The sequence below is a fragment of the Homo sapiens genome, chromosome 14 (genome assembly GCF_000001405.40).
Source record: "Homo sapiens chromosome 14, GRCh38.p14 Primary Assembly".
NCBI classification, from domain to species: Eukaryota; Metazoa; Chordata; class Mammalia; order Primates; family Hominidae; genus Homo; species Homo sapiens.
In genome coordinates, this window is record NC_000014.9 from 32611562 (window position 1) to 32636426 (window position 24865).

Sequence of the window (24865 nt, forward strand, 5' to 3'; positions counted from 1 at the left end):
TTGTGTGAGAATAAAGTAGATGTGCAATAGAACTTTAAGGAAAGCCTAGGGTAATTGAGAGCCAGGATACCATATTAAAGTTGGGGATTAAGTGAGAATCTACAACCTGAGGAGTGAAACTTTCAGGCCCTGTTGCCCAGAATGCTGGCAGCTGGGGAATGGTATTATAGCAGGTCAAAGGAACTTTTCATGGAGCGAGAGTGAACTTAGCATGTTTATAGACTGAAGAATAGGACTAGTGAAAAAGGGACACTTGAAGAAGATAGTTTCAGGGACAAGAAAGATGGATAGTTATTGCTACAATGATTCAGACAAGGAAAGGAAGTGAATCAGTGGATCTGTGATTTTCAGGAAAGGAGGATACATCTTCTGAGTTAGGACAGAAAGAGGGAAGGAAGCCAAAGAATTTAGAATGAAGACAAACCCCATGAGATTAGTCAGTGGAGCAATTATTTGAATAGAGGGAGGGTTGAAGCTGAGGAGGGACTAGAGAACAGAGTAGGAGTCAAATCCTATCCTCTCAAAAGAGATTTCCTAAAATTTTCCAGTCCTGTGTGATCACTGTGCCCTCTAAACTTCTCATTTACTGTTTGTACCTTACATTTGGTGATTAATCTCACACAGCCTTGTAAAACACCAGTTTCATCGTGGTTTTGAATTTCTGTTTATATCTTTCATAATTAACTTTTCAAGTGATTACCATCCATCATGACCGCAAACTCCTTGGGGCAGCAACTACCTCCTAAGCTTTGTTTTACTCACTTTACACGTTATTTCAGCTTTAAAATGTATTTTAGTAAATTTTGTTTGATTATAATAATATCATGTGTAGTTATAATATCCTTTTTAAAGCTAAAGACAGAACCCTACTTTATCATCTCATCTTTCATGATACTTTATCTTAGCTGTGTAAATCATGGCACAATCCCATCTTAACATCTGTTCTTCCTTTCTACACTTCTCTCCCATTTTCTTTGCCACTTGTTATTTTTTTTGTAAATAAAACAATCTTTAAATCAACTTTTAGAAGAACCATTTCACCTATTTTTTCCCAAATAACTAGGCATTTGTACCTTAAATATGTGATTTTATTATAGTGTGAATTTATTATTATATTCATACTTCCTTGAGGCAGGTCTAGTTGGTTATGTTAATAGATTGTTAGATTTTTTAAAACCTTTGTTTAAACAGCCTTGCTGAAAGGATATACTCTGAGTTGCTTCTTTGAAAAACATTAAAAGCATCTAATATGACTTGGTAGCTGACCAGCACACTGGTTGATGAAATTTGTAGTCTTTGCTCCAAAGCTCTCTAACAAGATTAGGTGAGATTGAACTTGAGAAGGTAAAGGTCTCTAAATTGACATAAATTCAAAGGGCAGAACTAGATCATACCACTATTTGAATCGCTATCAAAGTCTAATTTCTGACATATTATATTTGGTCCATTGCAATTTGTGTACATACACATCCTTCTAGTAAATGATGAATGAGGTTTAGCTAACATAATGTAGTTTATACACTTCTAGACATTTGTAGGAAATATATGATTGGGGAGCTCTCTTCTTTGTAAAATGACCTGGGTCGCTTTTCTGGAACACAGTCTCTCTGTTTTATACTAGACACAAACACAAACACTCAGGCATTTATTTCCCTGCTGTCTTTCACTTGATACCTCGTGTATATACTCAAGCTATCATTAGATAGATGACGAGCAAATACGGAATTTCACTGGATGCTTTCATGTGGCTAAAACCATTCATTTTTAAGGGAATTAGACCATTTCTAATGGGAATTTTTGGTCCAGTTTTGAGACTAGAAAATGATTAGTTAAGCTTCATCAACATATTTGAACTTTCAGTGTTTAAACCTTCTGAAGTTTATTCATAACTTGAGGGGCTATGCATTTTGAATTATGAGGAATTTTGGAAAACTCCTCTGTCTCATTTCTTTTCTTCTTTTCTGCTGCTCATCCCCAAAGCTTTCATTTCTTTTCTAGCTGAAAGTAAGGTAATAATAGTATGATATAAACTTGTGATTCTGATGCTAAGCGGGCTCAATAGCATCAGTGATAATGACTGTTGTAGGGTAATGCCAACTTGCTTACTGTGTTGGAATTTTCCTCCTTAAGACTTTGGAGGTTCTCTTACCTGGCCTGTCGTACACCCAGCAAGCACCTTCACACTGACCACTTTTTTGATCACACATTGTTCCTCTTCTTAACGAGCTCTTCTGAGAGGTGTATACACATGTTTAAAATGGCAACTTTCTGGGCACCACTACCCAGCTTTTTAAATGAAGTTCTTGGGACACAATGTTTTTTTCTCTCAAGTCAATTAGACTAAATATGACTGAACAGAAAACAAAATGTATTTTTCAAAATTATCATCAAATAGTGCTGCTACTAATTTTGGTTGCATTTTAGAGTGAAATCATCTCATTTCCTAGTGAGAACTTTTTAACTATTACTATTAATCAGTAATTGAAAATTTCCCCTCATTTTTGGTGAAGGCTAAGAATTATTAACTGTATAATACAGGACAAAGAGAACAGTAATGTGAACAAAGATATCGCTGAATAAAAATAAATTTGATATTCTAAGTGTTCTTCCTTGTTATTATTTTTGTATTTTTTCCAATTGTGTGGTGGTTTTCAGTTGAAGTCCTGCTTCAGACCTTTGGCAAATAGCATCTTTTATCATTATCTACAGATACTTTTTGTCTCAGTTGTACACAAAAAGCTTAATGACTATGCTCCATTGGCTAATACACAAAAGGGAAATCAGGTAGAAGAGTTTGAAGATGAAATCTCTGGAAAGCCTGCATTTTAAGCAGACTTTCTCTCATAACAGTCTTGTGCAATGCCTTGAAATAGAAGCTCTTGTTTTGTGTAATTTTCCAAGGCAATCAATAGTTCTTTCTTCTCATAAGTGGTAAAATTTGATATTAGGAAGTACAGATATACTTCTCATCATAAAAGGGAGTGTGTTGGGGATGTTGCACTAATGATACAATCAGCAACAGCAGTATCAAATAATGTTTATTAAGCTTTATTTGGCAGGCATTGTGGACTGCCTAACCAATAGCCATTTTCCTCCTTTGTCCTAACAGCATCACCTGTTTTGTCCACATACTACTTTCTTTCATGGTGTGTGGTCCAGGTGAAGTGGACCCTATTCCCCAGCCCAGCCAGTGAATCACAGTTAGTCCATGAGGCAACCATAAGGGCTCCCTTTGCACAGCTAATTGATGCACTTCTGGCCAGTGAGATATGAAGAGAGTCTATGGGGCTTTGGGAAAGGTTTTCTTTCTCAAAAAGAGATAAACAAGGCTGGGTGCGGTGGCTCACACCTGTTATCCCAGCACTTTGGGAGGCCAAGGCGGGCAGATCATGAGGTCAAGAGATCGAGACCATCCTGGCCAACATGGTGAAACCCCGTCTCTACTAAAAATACAAAAATTAGCTGGGCGTGGTGGTGCACACCTGTAGTCCTAGCTACTTGGGAGGCTGAGGCAGGAGAATCACTTAAATCCAGGCAGCAGAGGTTGCAGTGAGCCGAGATGGTGCCGCTGCACTTCAGCCTGGCAACAGAGCAAGACTCTGTCTCAAAAAAAAAAAAAAAAAAAGATAAACAAGAAGAAAAGGTTCCCTTTCAAGCTCTGGATGCTTTCACAAGGGTAACAAGCTGAGGTGCTATAGCCATTTTGTCACTATAAATGGAGCTAGGTCAAGGATAATGCTTAATATGCCAAGGATGGCAGAGGGGAAAAATGGGTTCTTTATATCATTGAACAGCTGAATGAACCAACTCTTGAGGTGTTTGACCTTCAGCACTTCTTATAAGTTCCTTCTTTTTTTTTTTTAACCTTCCTCTAGTTGGAGCTGAAATTTTCTGTTATTAGGGACAAAAACAAATTCTCTCTTAATGAAATATTGTAATCTGTTGAGTATTATGTAATTTGAATATTTCTCTACCTATTGAATCTCACAATACTTCCTTTTACATGTTTCCCCCAATGCTAAACCATTACTTTTTTTTTTTTTTTTTTTTTTGAGACAGAGTCTTGCTCTGTCACCCAGGCTGGAGTGCAGTGGCACGATATCTGCTCACTGCAAGCTCCGCCTCTCAGGTTCACGCCATTCTCCTGCCTCAGCCTCCCAAATAGCTGGGACTACAGGCGCCCGCCACCACACCCAGCTAATTTTTTGTATTTTTAGAGAGACGGGGTTTCACCATATTAGCCAGGATGGTCTCGATCTCCTGACCTCATGATCCGCCCACCTCGGCCTCCCAAAGTGCTGGGATTACAGGCGTGAGCCACCGCGCCCAGCCTAAACCATTACTTTTTAACCTCTTCTCAACTTAATGCTACATGGTGACTTTGTTCACACTAACGCTATTAAAATTATTCTCATCAATGTTCCCTCATGACTTCTTGGTTACCAAATAAGTCCCTGAGCCTCAGATTCCTTTCTATAAATCATTGATTGGTGGCTTTTAATTAAGAATTATTAGCCAATTATTAAAAAGACAAAAAATAACAGATGTTAGCAAGATTGCAGATAAAAAGGAATACTTATACAGTGTTGGTGGGAGTGTAAATTAGCTTGATCATTGTGGAAAGCGGTGTAGGGATTTCTCAAAGAGATAAAAATGGAACTACCATTCAACCCAGCAATCGCATTACTGGGTATATATCCAAAGGAATATTAATCGTTCTATCATAAAGACACATGCATGTGTATGTTCACTGCAGCACTATTCACAATGGCAAAGACATGGAATCAGTCTAAACGCCCATCAATTGTAGACTGGATAAAGAAAATGTGGCACATAAACACCATGGAATACTATGCAGCCATATAAAAGAAAGAGATCATGTCCTTTGCAGGAACATAGACGGATCTGGAGGCCATTATCCTTAGCAAACTAACACAGGAACAGAAAACTAAATATGTTCTCACTTATAAGTGGGAGCTAAATGATGAGAGCACATGGACACATAGAGGGGAGCAAAAGACATTGGAGCCTTTTGGAGGGTGGAGGGTGGGAGGAGGGAAAGCATTAGGAAAAATAACTAATGGGTACAAGGTTTAGCATCTGGATGACAAAATAATCTGTACAACAAACCCCAATAACAGGTTTACCTGTATAACAAACCTGCACATGTACCCCTGAACTTAAATAAAACTAAAAAAAAATTAGCCTCTTTTTTCAAACTAAATCTTACTTATAAGCCCAACATATATGTATATATTTATAAACAGAGTGGCATTTTTCAGTTGACTCAGTGGAATTTTTGAGTTTTATAAACTCAGTGGAATTTTTCAGTTGATTCAGTTGGAATTTTTCAGTTAACTGAAAACCTGGGGGCTTTGCCCTTTGCTCACTGTCCCCTGCGACTTTTGTAGCCCTCCCTATCTCTGACCTCTGCAAAGCTCACAGGTACCATGGGACATAGTACTAAAACTAGCCTCTGAATTTAACCTTACTGTCGGTGCCTCTCCTGCCTCTTCTCCATTTGCACTTTATGTGCCTCTCCTATCCAGAATCCTTCAGTGGCTTTCCATTGCCTATCTATAAAGTTCCTTTCTAGCCTTGTTCCTTTGATGCTCCCTTTTCTTCCTTTGCCATAGCCACATGAGGGTACCTCTAGTCTCCAAAACGTCCCAGTTTATCTTTTGTTGCTATGCTCTTCTTGTTCAGCTCCCTATCTTTGCTCATCTCCACCTGTTTAATCCTCCCCATTATCAGGGTTTATCTCGGTGGTCTGTCTGCCACCCAGTAGCCATCTATACCAAAATGACTCTCAATTTTATCAATTCCCACAGCATTTGTACCTCATTTATAGCACTTATCACATTCTGTCTTTGAATTTTGTATTAAAGATATTCCTCAAGCTGCATTCTTCTTAAGGTGGGGAACCATTTCCTGTTCATTGTTCTGCACACTGCAATGCTCAGCGTAATATATCCCTCAAAGACTATTCTTGAACAAAATGCTTGTTGAGTGACAAACAATTTATAACACAAATCAAAACCCTTAAATTACGTGTGTCCTTTAGGTTGTTTTGTTTTGTTTTGAGACAGGGTCTTGCTCTGTCACACAGGCTGTAGTGCAGTGGCACAGTTTCAACTCACTGCAACCTTTGCCTCCCAGGTTTGAGTGATTCTTGTGCCTTGGCCTCCCAAGTAGCTGGGACTACAGGTGTGTGCCACCACGCCCAGCTAATTTTTGTGTATTTTTAGTAGAGACAGGGTTTCGCCATGTTGGCAGGCTGGCCTCAAACTCCTGGCCTCAAGTGATCTGCCTGCCTCAGCCTCCCAAAATGCCAGGATTACAGGCATGAGCCACCACACCCAGCCCTTCAGGTCATTTTTTTTTTAGTTCTTTAAGCGTTTGTTCCTTTTTTGTGAGTTGATTCATACTCTTTGAGATTACCTAGGACTAAATTGATTTAATTAAATTTCATTATATGATAGAAGCTAGAACAATTAAATAAAACACAGGGAAAGCTACTTTTTAATGCAAAATATTTTATATCTTTGCATTTCACAGCCTAAAAAAGAAAGAAAAACAAAGCAATCTACTATGTCTGTACTTGGAAATTTTATTTTTACTTTTTTCTACCATTAAAAAAATTTTTCAGTAGCTTTAGGGATACCAGCGGTTTTTGTTTACACGGATGAATTGTATAGTGGTGAAACCTGAGATTTTAGTGTACCCTTCACCAGAGTAGTATACATTGTACCCAATATGTAGTTCTTTTATCCTTCTCCTTCGTCCTACCCTCCCTGCTTCTGAGTCGCCAATGTCTATTGTGCTACTCTGTATGCCTTTGCATACCCATAGCTTAGCCCCCACTTACAAGTGAGGACAGAGGTATTTGGTTTTCCATTCCTGAGTTACTTCACTTGGAATAATAACCCTCACGTCCATCCAAGTTGGTACAAAAGACATTATTTTGTTCTTTTTTATGACTGAGTAGTATTCCGTGGTGTATGTATGTCACATTTTCTTTATCTACTCATTGGTTGATGGGTACTTAGGTTGGTTCCATATCTTTGCAACTGTGAATTGTGCTGTGATAAACATATTCATGCAGCTGTCTTTTTGATATAATGACTTTGTTTCATTTGAGTAGATACCCAGTAGTGGGATTGCTGGATCGAATGATAGATCTACTTTTAGTTCTCTGAGAAATCTCCATGCTGTTTTCCACAGGGATTGTACTAAATTACATTCCCACCAGCAGTGTATAAGTGTTCCCTTTTCATCACATCCACGCCAACATTTATTGTTTTTTGACCTTTTAATAATGGCCATTCTGGCTGGGGTAAGGTGATTTTAATTTGCATTTCCCTGATGATCAGTGATTTTAAGCATTTTTTCGTGTTTCTTGGCCATTTGTACATCTTCTTTTGAGAAATACCAATTCATATTATTTACCTACTTTTTAATGGGATTATTTGTTTTTTTTTTCTTGGTTATTTGTGTTTCTCGTAAATCCTGACATTAGTCCTTTGTCAGATGCATAGTTTGCAAGCATTTTCTCCCATTCTGTGGGTTGTCTGTTTACTCTGATGATTATTTCTTTTGCTCTACAGGAGCTCTTTAGTTTAATTAGGTTCCATTTATTTATTTTTATTTTGGTTGCGTTTGCTTTCGGGGTCTTAGTCATACATTCTTTGCCTAAGCCAACATCCAGGAGAGTTTTTCTTAGTTTTTCTTCTAGAATTTTTATGGCTTCAGGTCTTAAATTTAAGTCTTTCATCCATCTTCAGTTGAGTTTTGTATATAGTGAGAGTTAAGGATCCAGTTTCATTCTTCTACTTTGGCTATCCAGTTTTCCCAGCACCAATAGTGTGTTCTTTCTCCAATTTATGTTTTTGAATGCTTTGTTGAAGATCAGTTGGTTGTAAGTATTTGCCTTTATTTCTGGATTCTCTATTCTGTTCCATTGGTCTATGTATATACTTTTATACCAGTACCATGCTATTTTGTTTACTATAGCCTTGTAGTATAATTTGAAGTCACATAATGTGATGTCTCCAGATTTGTTCTTTTTGCTTAGGATTGTTTTGGCTATCTGGGCTCTTCTTTGGTTCCCTTTGAATTTTAGGATTTTTTCTTCTAATTCTGTGAAAAATGATGTTGATATTTAATAGGAATTGCATTGAATCTGTAGATTGCTTTGAGCAATATGGTCATTTTCACAATATTGATTCTTCCAATGTATGAGCATGGAATGTATTTTCATTTGTTTGTGTCATCTATGATTTCTTTCAGCAGTGTTTTGTAGTTCTCCTTGTAGAGATTTTTCACCTCCTTGGTTAAGTATATTCCTGGATATTTTGTTTTATTTTATTTCATTTGCAGCTATTATAAAAGGGATTGAGTTCTTGATTTGATTCTCAGCTTGGCCATTGTTGGTGTATAGTGGTGCTACTCATTTGGATGCATTGATTTTGTAACCTGAGACTTTACTGAATTCATTTATCAAATCTAAGAGTCTTTTGGAGGATTCTTTATGATCAAAACGTTGGCAAACTGAGATAGTTTAACTCATATTTTCCAATTTGGATGCCCTTTATTTCTTTCTCTTACCTTATTTCTCTGGGTAGGACTTCTAGTACTATGTTGAATAGAAGTGGTGAAAGTGGGCATTTTTGTCTTGCTCCAGTTCCCAGGGGGAATGTTTTCAACTTTTCCCCATTCGGTATGACATTGGCTATGGCTTTGTTATATATGGCTTTTGTTATTCTGCGACATGTTCCTTCTATGCCTAGTTTGTTGAGGGTTTTTATCATAAAGGGATGCTGGATTTCATTGAATGTTTTTTCTGCATCTACTGAGATGATCATGTGGTTTTTGTTTTTAATTCTGTTTATATGATGAATCACATTTATCGACTTGTGTATGTTGAATCATCCTGTGTCCTCAGGATGAAACCCACTTGATCATGATGAGTTATCTTTTTGATGTGCTGTTGGGTTCAGTTTGCTAGAATTTTGTTGAGGATTTTTGCATCTATGTACATCAGAGATATTGGTCTGTAGTTTTCTTTTTTTGTTAAGTCCTTTTCTGGCTTTGGTATTAGGGTAATACTGGCTTCATAGAATGAGTTAGAGAGGATTCCTTCTTTCTCAATCTTTTAGAATAGTTTCATAGGATTGTGACCAGTTCTTTGAATATCTGGTAGAATTTGGCTGTGAATCCATTTGACCCAGGGCTTTTTTTCACTGGCAGTTTTTTTTTTAATTATTGATTCATTCTCACTGCTTGTTATTGGTCTGTTCAGGATTTCTATTTATTCTTGATTCAAGCTAGGAGGGTCATAAGTTCCCTGGAATTTATCCATTTCCTCTAGATTTTTTAGTTGTGTGCATAGAGTTATTCATAGTAGTCTGGAATGATCATTTGTATTTCTGCAGTATTGGTCATAATGTCTCCATTTTCGTTTCTAATTGAGCTTATTCTTCTTTTGACTTTTGAGCTTATGGCTTCTTTTCTTGGTTAATCTAGCTAATGGTCTGTCAATTTTATTTTTCTTTTCAAAGAACTAACTTTTCATTTCATTGGTGTTTTGTGTTTTTTCTTGTTTTAATTTTATTTAGCTCTCATCTGGTCTTTTTTATTTCTTTTCTTCTGCTAGGTTTGAGTTTGGTTTGTTCTTATTTCTCTACTTTCTTGAGGTGTGGCAATAAACTGTCAATTTGTGATCTTTTAGACTTTTTGATGTAGGCATTTAGTGCTATGAGCTTTCCTCTTACCATTGCTTTTGCTGTATCCCAGAGGTTTTTATAATTTGTGTTACTGTTATCATTCATTTCAAATAATTTAAATTTCCATCTTGGTTTTATTGTTAACCCAAAAATCATTCAAGAGAAGATTATTTAACTTCCATGTGTTTGTATAATTTTAAGGGGTTTTTTGGATTGATTTCTAGTTTTTTTCTGCTGTAGTCTGATAAGTTACAGAAGATAGTATTTTGATTTTTTAAAAATTGAGGCTTGTTTTGTGGCCTATCATATGGTCTATCTTGGAGAATGTTCCATGTGCTGACGAGAATAATGTATATTATACAGTTCTTAGGTAGAATGTTCTGTAAATATCTGTTAGGTCTATTTGTTCTGGTGCAGTTTAAGTCTAGTGTCTTTCTGTTGACTTTCTCCCTTAATGATTTGTCTAGTGCTATCAGTAGAGTTGAAGTCACCCACTATTATTATGTTGCTGCATACTTGGACATTTTAAGCAGGGTTATTTATGAGTTTGTTAGCTCACTGATATCCTAGGCATACCAGTTATGAATTAATGATAAGTGTGACAGATGTACTAATACTCTAATTTTTAAACACTTAATTTTCATTTAAGTATTATAATTGTTATTGAGCTCCCAGAGGGGACAGTCAAATATGTAGGTAGTCTCAATAAGGCATATATCCTTTTAAATTTATTTTCCTGTTTCCTATAACTTTTGTAAGATTATCATTCCTTAATAGAATGTACCTGAAAATTTCATTAATTTTAATAAAAATTCCAAAAGTTGGTGAAAGAAGGAATGTACCACTGTACTACTATCTAGTTAGTTCCTACTATTTCGTTTTAGCTACTTACTGCTTCATAATTTTAATGTATGTCACCAATATTTTTAAATAATTCTGATGACAAGGAAAGGGAATGTTGATTTGATGAGCTTTCAAATAAACTATAATAATATATCACATGATATAGTAGTGATAATATAATGATTGAAATGCTTTGAAAGAAAACTTTAATGTTTTTTTCAAGACCAATATTATCTGTTATTTTCACTGGGGAGGATTTGACTAGACTAGATATAATAATAGAGACAAATAGACATAATTACAGACCTAGATAATTGAGAGCTTCAAATAAGCCCATATAACCATAAGCCATAAGAAAAATATAAGGTGCTGACCCTAGGGACCAGGAAGTTAAAGAATCCCTTCTCTGCATCTGTTTCATCATCTGCAAATGAATGATAATCCTCTCTCCCTCCCTCAAAGGGTTATTGAATTGATTAGATGAAATATATGAAATTATCGGAGTTGGTTGCTAAGAAGACAAATAATGTTCTATACAACATTTCTAAACTCATATAGTTGCTGTCAGGGTGGGAGTCTGACTTCTTGTTCTCATGCAAAGGCAGGTGGGGAGCTGTGGCCACGAGCTGGGCTACAGTGAGGAGCTTTGAGTGGGACATAGAACAGGAGGATCATAGCACCCAAGGTGAAGGTGGGCATGAGAACTAATGGTTCAGTCTAAAGTAAAGACTGAGTTTACAACAGGAAGCAGAGAGAATGAATCTGAAAAGAAAAACAGGAAGTAGAACCTGGAGAGAACCACTTTGAGGCACCAATAATCAGAGCCAGATGCCTCACGATAGGACCATGGGTGCTACCAGTGGTGGTGGTAGTGGTAGGGTGTGTGAAAAATCAGTCCCCGCACAGGCCATGCCTTCCACACACTATCCTATGATTCCTGGGCTTTCTCTTCAGTGCTAAAATACTGGTCCTATAGATGCCACAGGTTCAGTTTGTGACTTCCTACTTTTAAGCTCCAGCATTAAACCCTAAGGTGATGAGATCTTGAGGCTTAAAAGATACAGGATCTGAAATCTTGAAATATGTTTTCAATATTTGTTGTTGTTGTTAGTGGGAAATCATTATTATGATACTTCGTCAAGAGCCTTTGATGCTAAGACCTAATTAACATGTATTTAGAGATCTAGAATAAATTGCTTCCCTGATTGTGTGCTTATGATTTACTCTTGTTAGTTCTAGTATCCATAGGTTAATATTTGAAACATGACAATTGGCTGGTGACTTAACAATGACTTACCTGCTTATCCCTTTTCACTTCCCACATCCCCCTACTTCTTACCCATTAATTCTGTAGGACTCACTTTAAATCAGGAAAGGAAAATGAGTCACCTAAAATGAATATAGTCAGAGAAAGTCTCTGGACCTTATGGCATTGCCCATAAAAGCCTCACTAAATTCTCTTCTGCAAAATATTTGACACTTGCTGCTTAAAAACCAGTGATGCCTCTGTGGGGTCAAGCCTGGAGACAGAGAACCGTGGCATAATTTGCAGTTAGAGAAGACTCAGAAGAGAGTGAGAGAAGGAAATTTTTCTAGGTAGCTTTACCTGTTTCAGCATATATGGCCAGGTCTTTAAACTTCCAGTTCATAAAGCCGTATTCCTTGTCCTAATAATTTTCATATCTTTGTCTCCTAACAAGCACTGAGCAGTAAGTGGGCTCCACTGTCTGTCTGCATCTGACTGCCCCGACTGTGTTAGTCATCATCTGCTCATGGAAGCATGGAAACCCTGGGGGAATAAGTGTTTGGCAGAGTCAGCAAATGGGTTGGTTTGTGCAAAGTTTTGGGAGAAGAGAGTAGAGTGGCAAAGTGAATTAACAGTGATAACATGAGTAAAAGTGGTGCTGAAAATGCAGCGGGATGGCCTCCTATCTAACTATTATGATTTGGAATAAAAAAAGAGATCTTGGTAAGTAAAAACTTATTTTTAGTATTAGAAGATATTCACATAGTGCATAATGAAAAGCAAGTCTTTGGATTTTTGAGTCAAGGACCTACACAATTGCTGAGAGTATTAGAAGATACTTGTTGTATTAGGTGGTCGTAAATGACAACAAAGCACAGGACTAATAGGACAGAGGAAAATGTGCTGTTCAAGAAAAATAGTCTTCTTTTCTTAAAACATATGACATTTCTGCATCCTGCATTTGCCATGATATAATGACCCATTAACAGAAAAGAAATGAAAAATAAGGAGTCAGCATGGTTGATGGTTGTTACCTAAGCCCATAATAACATTTTAAATTGCTTAAAGTTGCAGTCTCCTAAAGAGAAAATATAGTTGTTGAGTGGCCCTTTTGGCTACCTGGCAAGATGTATAATTCAAAAGATTCAAGATTTAATTCTTCTGGAATCTTATTTCAGATTTCCTATGTAAAAGAGTCAGAGCATTTTATATATTACAGAGGAGTATGAGACAATTAAGGCCAGAAAAATATAGGCAGAGAAATATAAGAAAACATACTTCTTTCCCTGTTTCACAATACTTTGGTAGAGTGCTAAGTAAGACAAACAACCCTATAATTAGGAAGAAAATTATGAGAAGTTATTTTTATTCTCAAAAATCACATTAATGGCTTTGTCTGCAGCTCAGTTATTACCAATTGCTATTAACTTGTTGGCACAAACAAGCTTAAAATTTATTTTATATTCTGTAGTCCTAATAATTTTTTTGAAAAAGTGTGACATTCAAATCGTGTAATTAAAACAAGTAGAATAATAAACATATATTTATGAAGGGTTTGTGTGTGTATTTGTTTTAAGTTGAACAGATAATTCCTAGTGATTTTGTGAGTCATACAGTGAATAATTAAAATAAATTTAAATTCAAATATTAACATTTCAATTTCCAGTTTGGTGAACATAAGCAAATTATTATAAGTTTGTTTTCAATTCCTGCAAAGCATATTAAAATTAACTTTTCCTCAATTTAAGTAATGTGTATAAGTAAACTTCCTTCCCACTGTGAAAAGGTTTCATTTATTGCTATTTGTAAACTGCCTAGGATAGATTCAGAGTGGATTGGGCTGGAAACTCCTTGAACAGTTTCTTTTGAAATAACACTACATACGTTAAGCTCAATTACACATCCAAACAGCCACAGCTCACTTTTGGTAATTTATTCATTGATTTAACATAGTACCCAGAAGAGCCATGCCTGCTGTCATTTTTGTAATATATTATGTTTTAAATATACTCATGCTCACCCCTGCACACCATTAAGGTGTGCATAAACCTGTGTTTTTCTCTCTTGACAGCTATAAATGTTTGTTATTATTACACAAAACATATGTTCATGTTGTTTTTGTCTAAATTATTCTATCTGGGGCTATAAAGTTTTAATGTTATTAGTTGCCCTTAGAATTTTAATGTTTCACTGCTGTAACCTTCTTAGGATTTCTGTGCAATTAAATAGAAACTATTTCACTGCAGCCTGGAAGAACAATATATTTTATACAAATAAAAAAAAAAAACCCTTCTTACTCCATTTTCTTTCAGTGTAGTAAAAATATTTGCCTGACAGTTTTTCTTTTTGGTCTGTGGAAACCTCACCTGTGGTCATACCTGTGCACCAGCTGTGTGTGGAACATTTCTCTTTCTGCTCCTGGCGTTTGTTGGAAAGATATGAGTTAAGCACCCTTTAAACCAAAGGGACAATATTTCACCAGCCTTTCAGAGGTCATTCCAGGTGCTATTTAGGTGACTGTATTTCAGCCTGGCTTTAGTTTAACATATACAGAGGCCAAAAGGGACTAAATAAGAAGCCCATTATAGTGGCAAAATATGTGTCTAACTTGGGTTCTTACCAGCATGGTTCAAAGGTGGTTTTATTTACAAATACGTGGAAGCACTAACATTTGGTGGAGCCACAGAGATGTTTTCCCTTATGTCTTCTCTCATTTTCATACCCACTGGTTGGTTATACTTGGTCCAGGCCTCATCGTCAAGTCAGATAGGACTGCAGACTTACTTAGAAACCTAGTTTCTCACATATAGAATCATTGCATCGCAAATAATTTTTATTTTACAGAAGAGCTTCTAAGTGTATTCTGACTTGTTTACTATAATCTTAATGTTGGCATTGTCTACCCCAACCCCAGTGGTCTTTCATATGTACAGTGCTAGGGCCGAGTTATGTCACTGGCTTTTAATTGGCTCTCAGCTTCAATTTTCCTTTTTTTAAAATATACTAATCACTCTACCTTCATTGTCATCTTCCTAAAATACATGTTGGATCACTCAAACTCCAGCTCAGAAGCCTTGCCAATGAATAAACTCAAAATCCTTAAAAAGATGTTGACAATTTTCCTTGATCCAGCACGAAATCGCTTCTCCAGGCTCATTGGCCCTTAGTTCTATTGCATTTCCTATACCTCAGTCCACTGGACCTGCTCACAGCTTCTCCAACACTACTCAGCCGCAGGTCCAAGTCAGCACGTGTGATGTTTCCTCAGGGTGGGTGCTCTTCTCTACTTTCTGTTCATCCAACCTCTATTTCTTCAAAATTCAGTTCAAATACTGCTTCACCCATTAAGCTCTTCCTAATTCTCCCTCAGTCAAAATTAATCGCATTTGATGCATCCCCTCAGCACATTGCTTCGGTGTGGTTTCTCACATATGTCATCCTATGATGTTCACTAGATTATAAGCTCCTTGAAGGCAGGAACTATACCTTTCATCTTCATTTTCTTACCAGTGCCTCACACAACATGTAATAGGTGCTGCTTTATTGGCAAATGGATGAACAATATTTCTTTCTACTTTGTTAATCTTGAAATTGGGAATCACTGAATTGTTAGACTGTCAACTTAATTTCCCTACATTTGTGGCTTTATGAACATGGTTATAGATATAAACATACCTGACACACTTATAGAAGAAGAGATTATATATTTCCTCAGAGCAACACATTATGCTAGTGGAAAAATCTTTGTTAATAAGTTATTTTGCTTACATCTGAATGTACCATCAAATGCTCAGTTCATTCATCTTGTATCTGTCCTTAGAGGAATCAAAGATTATTTTGCCTTTATTCTTTGAATAATCTCTTACTAAAGTAAATAATCAGCGTGAAAATCAGAAAAACGAAATAAATGAACTTTGAATTGGGGTATCTCATATATCAGGATTGCTTCACTTCAATTTGTAGCCCAGTTTGACTTGTAAGAAAATTAGTGGAAATTAATCAATATATGGTATTATTTTGTTTTTCCAAGATTGTGGGTTTGAGTTGCCACAAATTAGAATTATTTGCTACCAACTCAGCCCACTCTTCATTAAGATATAAAATTTCACAGCATCATGAGGAGTTTGTTCTTTTTCCTTAAACAGTACCCCTAAAAAATATATATTATGGAATGAGAATTTCTCAGTCTTCTCAGGAGCCTTCCAAGACATTGTTTAGCAAAACAATGGGTTAGTGTCTCTTCTCTTTTTTCTAGCACAACCCTCAGTTCATGGCAGTTTCCAGGAAAGGAAAACAGGAAATTAAGTTCTTAAAGGATTCCTGGAAGTCTCTCTTGTTAAAATCACCTGTTTGGACTTTTCTTTGTGTCTCCCACACTTCTAAGTTTAACACCACATGCAAAGCCCAGTTAGAAAGAGATCTAGAAAGCCACATTTAACTTCCTTTTTAAGCTTTCATTTTTTTTTCTTTTTTAGAGTGGTCTCAAATGGTGGGGATTAAGGTCTTTAACAGGCAGCAGTTACTGTCCACAAATAGTAGACCTCTCTAATTCACACCATTTTAATTACATCTAAAATTTCTGCCAATTATATGGCGAAGGATTATATGGCAGGGCAAAGGACGCGGGGTGGATGTGGAGCCTGAGCAGCTTTCTCTTTTAGAAACAGAAGAACCTGTAATGGAAAAATGCAACAGTTGTTGAAGAATGGAGATAACAGAAGTGGTAAGTCAAAGTACTTGATTACACAATAATCTTCCACAGAGTGCTCATTACTGCTAAATAATTGACTGTGTTGCCAGGTTTCTCAGTGAGGAAAGGGTCAAGGAGGTCAGTTATCTGGTGGTAATGACCGTAGCAGTCATTAGAGGGTATTAAAGCTATTAAGAATAGAAGTTTAACTTTTTATTGAAGTTTTTATTTAAATGATATTAACTTCAATTCAACTTTTAATTGAGGTGCAACCATCCAAATTCTACAGTCGGGCACCAAGAAGTAATGAACATAAAATTACATGTTCTTTTGATAGGTTGATGGGTCTTTATTAGAATTTCAAGGGCCTCCACAGAGCTGTTATTAGACACAAGCTGCTCTGAAGTCTTCTATTAGAATTAGGGCTGGGTGAAAGATTTCTAGGAAATAATTTTAACCTGGACCACTGAAAGGTTTAGGGAAAAAAAGAAAGGAAGGAAGTTCTGTCTTTTGTTTTTGCCTTTATTTTTATTTTTTTTAAGGTGAAAAGGCCTGTTTATATGGCTAGATTTGCACGCATTTGCCAGGCCTTTAAACATAATATATATCTCCTTTCCTCCCTTTTTCTCTTCCTTCCTTTTTTCCTTTCTCTGCAACTCAATGGAAATAGAAAAAAAGTCCAAAACACCAGATTTTTTTTTCTCTAAATTTTAAGGAATGTTATCTTTCCTAAAAATTAAACACATCTGTGTGTTGCTGTTTCTATTAAGGTAGCAGTATCTGTGAAAAGTCAGAATAAAATGAACACTTTGTTAAAATATTTAAGTTAAGCCAAATAAAAATGAAAGTTAATGCCAGAACTTTACCATTCGTGATTTATAAATAAGCTGTTTTCTAAATAAAAATAACCACCCACCTGCAGTCAGATCTCTTAGAGAAATGGGAGGGATGTGCCGTTTGAGGAGGGAATCTTCTATTACTACTCCTCCAGGAACAAAAGAAAGATAATTTCGAGGTTCATAATTTTACCTCTGTGAGCCAACAAGGAAGGAGCTGGGGTAGTGAACAATTTCATAAACAAAATCGTCCATACCTAAAACCCTTTGTTTCTTTGTAATCATAAACTTTATGAAGATTCGCTGTTAAGTTGGTTGGCTGCCATTTACAGCAAAGATATTTGCTAGAAGAATTGATAATGGCCTTTTTTCCTTTGGAAAAGAACTTAAGCTATTTTACATTTTTGGTAGATAGCCAGCATTTTGTCATTTAAACGTGTCACATTACTATGAAAACATCATGCATCATAACACAGCATAACAATGTGTTTTGCTGAAGTGCGAGTTTCTCAAAAAAAAAAAAAAAAAAGGAAAGAAAAAGAAAGAAGGCAGTCATGTTTTTTTTTTTTTTTCCACAATGTGAAAGCCATTTGAGTATATTTTCCCCCAAGAGCCTGTAGAACTGGGCGCTTGAACTAGCCACACATCTGTGGATGCTCAGCTGTAAGTGGGTCTCTCTTATAAATGTGAGGGGCCAACCCTAAGCTTTGTTGCTAGTAAGAGAATGTACAAGTAAGATTATGAGAAGTTCAAGTGAAGCTAATTGCATATAAGCATTTTTTTTTTTTTTTTGGTCAGGAAGCCAGAAGAACTAGAACCTGGATTTTTAAATATAACTCAATACTTCAGTGTGACTTGAAATTATGTCTTTTATAAGAATGAGAATACTCTGGCCGGGCACAGTGGCTCATGCCTGTAATCTGAACACTTTGAGAGGCTGAGGCAGGAGGATCTCTTGAGGCCAGGACCGGCCTGGGCAACAAGCAAGACCCTGTCTCTACAGAAAATTAAATTTTTTTAAAAAAGAATGATAATACTCTGCCATAATTCATTGACTTACTAAAGCGTTAGTTTGGAATGACCTCATTATGAGAGGAAAAGAAAACTGCCTCCCAATAGCTGGGTTTAAATGACCATTTCTGTGTGGGATCTGGAAATGTATTCTGGTGTGTGAATTTTTCTTCTCCAGTGTACAGGCCAAAGTACCAGCTCTCAACTGCCTCTTCTTGTTCCCATTAAATAAGTTGTCACAATTTAACACGTAGACGTTTTAATTGAAGATCTCATTTCATCTTAAACTTGGGCTTTGAGAAGATCTTATTTCATAGGCCCACTTCATTTACTTCAAACCATCTTTAAATTGGAATTAGAAATAAAGTCCCAGTTAGAATATAAGCAGCTTATTTGATTGTTCAACATTAGAGAATGCAAGATTTTTTTTCAACTATAATAACAGTATGTTGGAAATTACCACATGTTGCTATTGTAAGGAAAAAAAGGCAATATAATGCATTACTTGTAGAATTTGATGAAAAACTTTTTAATGCAATGGAATTGGGTATCAGCATTGATTTTATTTTCCAAGACATTTTGCAATAATTTTTACAGTAGTTCAGGGGAAAAAAGGAGATACTTTTGGACCAGAGAGAAAAAATTCCTATCAAGGCTGTCACCTGCTAGGACTTAGAAGCAAGCAATGATCCCAACAGAAGTGAAATTATAACCTGTTATGCGAGCCTCTAATGTTCTTTGAAATTTGAGGTAAAGGGTAGGTAAGCCCTTCTACATGGCATGTGTAAAGTCTATGTAACAATGTAACCCTTTCCTGATACAAAGGGGTTAGTTCTTTTAATGTTTTAAATAATTTATTTTTCTTTATGATATTAATAGTAATAGATGCTCATTGAAGAAAACCTGGAAAGTACAGAAAATAATACAAAATAAATAAAATCACAACTATCTTACCACCAAATGACAAGGTTGGCTAACATTCTGATGTAGTCAGCAGATATTCTTCTGGCTTCTTTTGTAGCCATTACAGCATTCTGATGTAGCATTCTGAAGATCCTTCTGGTCTTTCTTTCTACTGCTAATAGTTTTGTTGAATTTTTAAAAATTCACAGATTACATGGAGAGATTTAAATTAGATCAAGATATTTTATACTTCATATTTTTATTAAGAAATATACTTTCCATGTCTCATTTTCCACAAATAACATTTTGTTTTGTTTGAGAGATTTGTTCTCATATTTATTTTACTAAAATTTCATATGGCATATGAAATACCTCATCTGTTGTTTACCATGTTATTTTTAAAAAATTATTCTTTGAGCGCCCCGTATATAAGATTAAGATTAGCACCCTGTGTGTAAGATTAAGATTAGCACCACTTCTGTGCTTATGCAAACAAACTCATGATGTTATAATGACAGGTTTTATATTTATCGATTTTCCACTTTCCAGAATGCCTTCTTGGAAACTTTATGATTTCCTGATTGGATTTCATGATTGAATAGTTTATAATTTTTTAAGGCTGAGATTGGTTATATTTTAAATAGGTTTTACAAATATGGCAAGAAAGTTAGTAAACACTGGATATTACAGTTGTGTAGTTGTACAAAACCAGGAGAAATACATTTATTGATCTCTTGAGAGCAGTAATTACCGCATACAGAGATTGGATTCTATTTATATTCTTCCAGTGCTTCAGATTTCTTTGCTATGATTGAACCCAGCACTATAGCATTTTACCAGTAAGATGTAGCTCATGATGCTAGTTGAGTTACTCTGCAGAAAGTAGCCTTAGAATAAGCTGTTGAAGTTGCCACGTAAATGAGATGTTTAAAATGATTTTAAAATTTACAACAACATTTTGATTGTCAATTTAGGTAAAGGTCTTAAGAAAGCAAATATAATACACTCTGGATGTGGTTAGGCTGTGAGTTGTTAATGTTCTTTCATAAGCATGGTGACATGTAGTAGATCATTATAATACCAAAGAAGGCTTTTTGGACCTTGATGACATTGTATTAGCATTCTACAGAGTTTTAGGAAAAGGCATTTTAGAAGATGGACGTGAGACAACTTTCTCTTCCCAATGTTAGGATTTTCAGCAGTATATTCATTCTTTTCCCTCAAGGCTTATAAACATTTTTTGGTGTTTTGTTTGTCTGTTTGTTTGTTTTTTGTTTTTAATGAGGGAGGTTAGGAAGTGATGTTGTAACTGGGATGTCTGTTTTGCTATGAACCATTTACTATACTTTTCCTTTCTTGTCCAGGTAAACAATAACAAATATTTAGTGAGCATCTTATGTGAAAAACATATGTCGAATTATTTTTAATTGCCTTTATATAAAAGTTTAGGAGCTCTTGCTGTATAGGGGGATCTTAACTGCTGGAATGATCAGTCAATTCATTTAGCCTTTGTCTAATCATTTATTCTATGAATGTTTATTAAGTATTTAATGCCTACCATACATCCTAATATGTTGTCTTCCCTAGACTTTCAAGTTTTGTGTCATGGGAGAACTTGGGCTTCTCCTATAAAATATTTTGTAGGATTGCAAGAAAGAAGAGAGACCATTTTCTAATTAAATGTCAGGCAAAATTAATCTTTAAAGAGAATGTTCTAGTATCAGCAAACTTTATGCTCAGAGGAAATGATAAATTTGCAGAGATGTGCATCTATATCCAAGAATCCAAACAGGAGAGCTTGATGGGGAACTGAAAAGGGGATCAAAAATCTGGGCTTTGGACCATAGAAACACTGACCTTTTGGAAAGGACTTGAAAGCTATAAATGACGAGCAGGGGCAAGAGACTGGGACAGGAAAAACCAATCAGAGAGCATAAAGCTAAGATTCAGACTCTAGCTTTATATGTTTTAAAAAATTCCAAAGAAAGGCTTGGAAATGACTTTCTAAGAACATCATTTTTATTTGATTTAATCATTTGCATATTTGGGGGTAACTTGTTTGTACCAAAATGTGGTTAGATTAGTTGATTCTTAACTATCACTCATTTGTATCACATATATTTTGTATGAGACTGGAATAATTTATCGGATCAGCAGCCACAAAGAATCAGCAAGTAAAATCATTCTAAATGTAATGCTATCTAGGATAGAAAAATCAAGAAAGTATGGACACATGTTAACTGGGTCTTTTCTCTGTTTACTTTTTTCTAATTTAATTTCATTTTAATTGTAATGAAACAGTATAAAGGATTCATATCCACCTCATCAATTCATATAAACTGTCTTTGATTCACATTTCAGTCTTTGACAGATTTTTAAGCACAAAATGATAAAATCATACAGCATAAGGCTTTTACATCAGAAAATATGGAAATAGAACAGTAGTTGTTCTCTTTAGGACAGAGCCCTCTATCCAGGCAAAACAAGAGATTTCATCCCCTTCTACGAAGTTTACTCATTTTGGTCTGTTGCTTTAATTTATAGTGACAGCATCTGCAAAAAGCACAGGGTTACTCTGGTAGATTGCATTGTTGTTCCCATGATTCACTCCCCTTTTCTGTAAGAGGATTATACACCCCTGTCTATTACCATGTGACTTGCAGGCCTCCTGTGGAGGAGGATGCACCCCTGCCCCATCAACTTTTAGCTTGGCTGGTATGAGCTTTGGACAATGGTAAGTGAGCAGATGCTTTAGGAGCCATTGCATGTCTCCGCTAGCTCTCTGGCTCTTTTCCTTCTGACACAAGAATAGCATATCCAAATAGGAGCTGCATCCAGGAATGAAGAATGAAGACAGATAGAGAAAACCCGCAACCCACTCACAGCCATCCTAAGCAGGCATGTAATGTAAGTGAGAAGTAAACATTTGCTTTCCTATGCCTCTAACATTGGAGGGTTGTTACTGCAGCAAAGCCTACCAAATACAATAACCAAAGGCTTGACCATGTGTTTCCCCAACCTCAGCAAACCAGGCTGCACTTCTTCATGTCTCCCATCTCTAAGTCTTCCTCCAATATCGTTCGTGTCACAAATAAGGAAGCTTACAAATCTTCCATGGCTCCTTATTTTAAATGTGAAACTTGTCTATTTCCAAGGCAAGCCTATAGTCTAATTTCTGTGTCAAACTTATTTTCTGTTTTTACTCCACACAGCCTCCATCACTAGTTGAGCCAGTTTCCTCATTGTCTCACAATCTCTACACATCTGCTTAGAGCAGTAGAATACAGTGGTTAAAACTAGCTTCTGGATTCAGCCTGGGACTGAACCCAGGTCCCAGTGCCAACTAGCTGGGTAACCTTGAACAAGTTACTCAACCTATCTAAGCTTCAATTTCCTTAAAATTGGATAATTCAAGAAGGATAATAAGAGTACCCAACTCACAGGGCTATAATATTAACTGATGTTAGGCATATAAAATGCTTAGTGTGGTACCTGTCTCATAGTAAATGCTCAAGAAGTGATAACTGGTTGTTGCTTTTATCTGGAATGCTTTTTTGCCTTCTGACTTATCTCAATCCTAACCAAACTTCAACTTTGAGTTCAAAGTTTATTTCTCTATGAAGTCTTCCCTTACAATTTTTTTGATAGTGTCTTTTACTTTCTCATTGTTGTTTCCTGTGAATTAGGCTATCCCTGGTTCTAATCTTCTTGAAGGCAAACAGTGAGTTAAACCTACTCTGTATCCTATAGGCTGAGGACATCATGGCTATCCAGTCTAATTAATCGATAATATTTACCCTGTTGAGGTTATTCATTTTGAGAGCCAGTTATTTTTTTGGAGGGGTGGTGATAGGGAGTAGGGGTGCAGTCAGTGCAGAAATGGCCATAGTTTTAATAGAATATTACTTTTAAGCAGCTCTGAAAATTGTTGACATCTGTCATGTCATCCAAGTCTTTTCCTAAATAGACCTAAAATTTGAAAGAATCCTGTAGTTATAACAAGAGGTTTGGTGTTAAGATAAAAACATATTAAGTGAGGCTTGTACTGGGATTAGTTTTCTTTTCTTTTTTTTTAATTTTTAATTTTTTTATTTCAATAAGTTTTTGGGGAACGGGTGGTGATTAGTTACATGAGTAAGTTCTTTAGCGGCGCTTTCTGAGATTTTGGTGTACCCATCATGGGGTTAGTTTTCAGTGTAAACTCAAGAGTGACCCTCAGTATTGCTGAGTTTAATCAGGGGAATTTTGAAAGAGAAGATCATTCCTAGCTAAATAAAGTGTATGTTCTGCCAAGGTCAAGTTGTATTATTTGAGACCCACTGCTGAGTACTTTATTAATTATTTTCAGATTGGAAAATAAAATTACAGCTTTTCCAGGAAACTCTGGGAATCAATTTATTTTAGTAGGGGAATAGGAGCAAGGAAAAGCAGCTTGCCAATTCTATGCAACTGTGAAGAACAGGGAATTACGAAAAGCTTGCTGTATGAGTCATAGTTAGAGTAAAAATCCTTGCTTCAGGGATTAACATCTACATAAGTTATGGACAAAATAAGTAACTGGGGCTCCATATGGATATTTTATTGTCCATTCTAATTTGTATCAATCACTAAAAAGAAAGGATCACATGATACAAGCATATCACTGATCCATCTGTAATTATGAAATCGAAAGTAATTTTAGAAAGTACTACCCTCAACAGAGAACTCATTTATTTATTTAGCTGTGGCTAGGAAGCTGTCCTAGAGCTGGGAGCTACTGTTGTAGCTAGATTAGATTAATGAATTACCACAAAATCTGACTGAAATAACACTGGTAAAAATAGACAGTGGATATGTTCAAGGTAATTGATAATTATAGTGGGAGAAAAGAATGTTGAACATTTTTATGAGAAAATTATGTGTTCAATGGACATATTTTAATAAACACATAAAGAATGTTGAAAATGAGTGATTAATTGTAACTTATTTTTTAAAAGTATGAATCTATGTGTGAAGGTTGTAGGAATATATAGGTTAAACCAAATAATGGTAGAAGAGAAGATTACTTCAAAGAATAGGATATTATAAAGCCATGTTTATTAGCTTTTGTCAGAGCAGTGCAGCACCATTCAATTTATTCATTGCTTTATGTTAGATAGTTCTCAAGAGACTGAAATCCACTATTAAGCTTACTGATTTACATGCAAATAGTGGTCTCTTCTCCCAGTTGTATATAGACTAGTATTTGTAAGGACTTTGTATTTTGCCCAGAAATGTTTTGCACTTATTTTTAAAATTAGTTAAAATAAACGTGCTCCCTATTATACATTTTAAACCAAAAATCTATACCTTTAAAAATAACAGATTTTGAAATGCAGCAAATGGTACATGTGCAGAAACATCTATACATATACAACATAATTGCTGGCAATCAAATTGCTTGCCCATCAGAACAAGCAAATGATGTCTGTTTTACTCCAGATTCATGGGTGCTGTCTTCATTAGGAATGTTAACTTATCAAAACATAATTTGTTGTACCGGAAAATTACTTTTTAAATTTCCTTAGGTGTATGATAGATTTTGAAAAACATTATTTTGATGTGTGAGTTTAAATCAAGGCAGCTAAATTAG

At 35.7% G+C, this 24865-nt stretch overlaps 1 protein-coding gene across 14 annotated transcripts in view; it reads left to right on the forward strand.

The window, feature by feature from the left end:
- AKAP6 (A-kinase anchoring protein 6) overlaps positions 1–24865 on the forward strand; it is a 508387-nt gene that overhangs the window by 282264 nt on the left and 201258 nt on the right. The window contains exons 1-2 of one of the 14 annotated variants that reach the window (XM_011537378.4): positions 5385–5445; positions 16476–16537. The exons of 12 other annotated variants lie outside the window; for them this stretch is intronic. In XM_011537378.4, the coding sequence (XP_011535680.1) occupies positions 16520–16537 (18 nt within the window). In that variant the 5' untranslated portion in view covers positions 5385–5445; positions 16476–16519. Of the gene's footprint in view, positions 1–5384; positions 5446–16475; positions 16538–24865 lie in introns of those variants that run through there. One more of the 14 variants, XM_011537379.4, reaches the window with a different exon arrangement.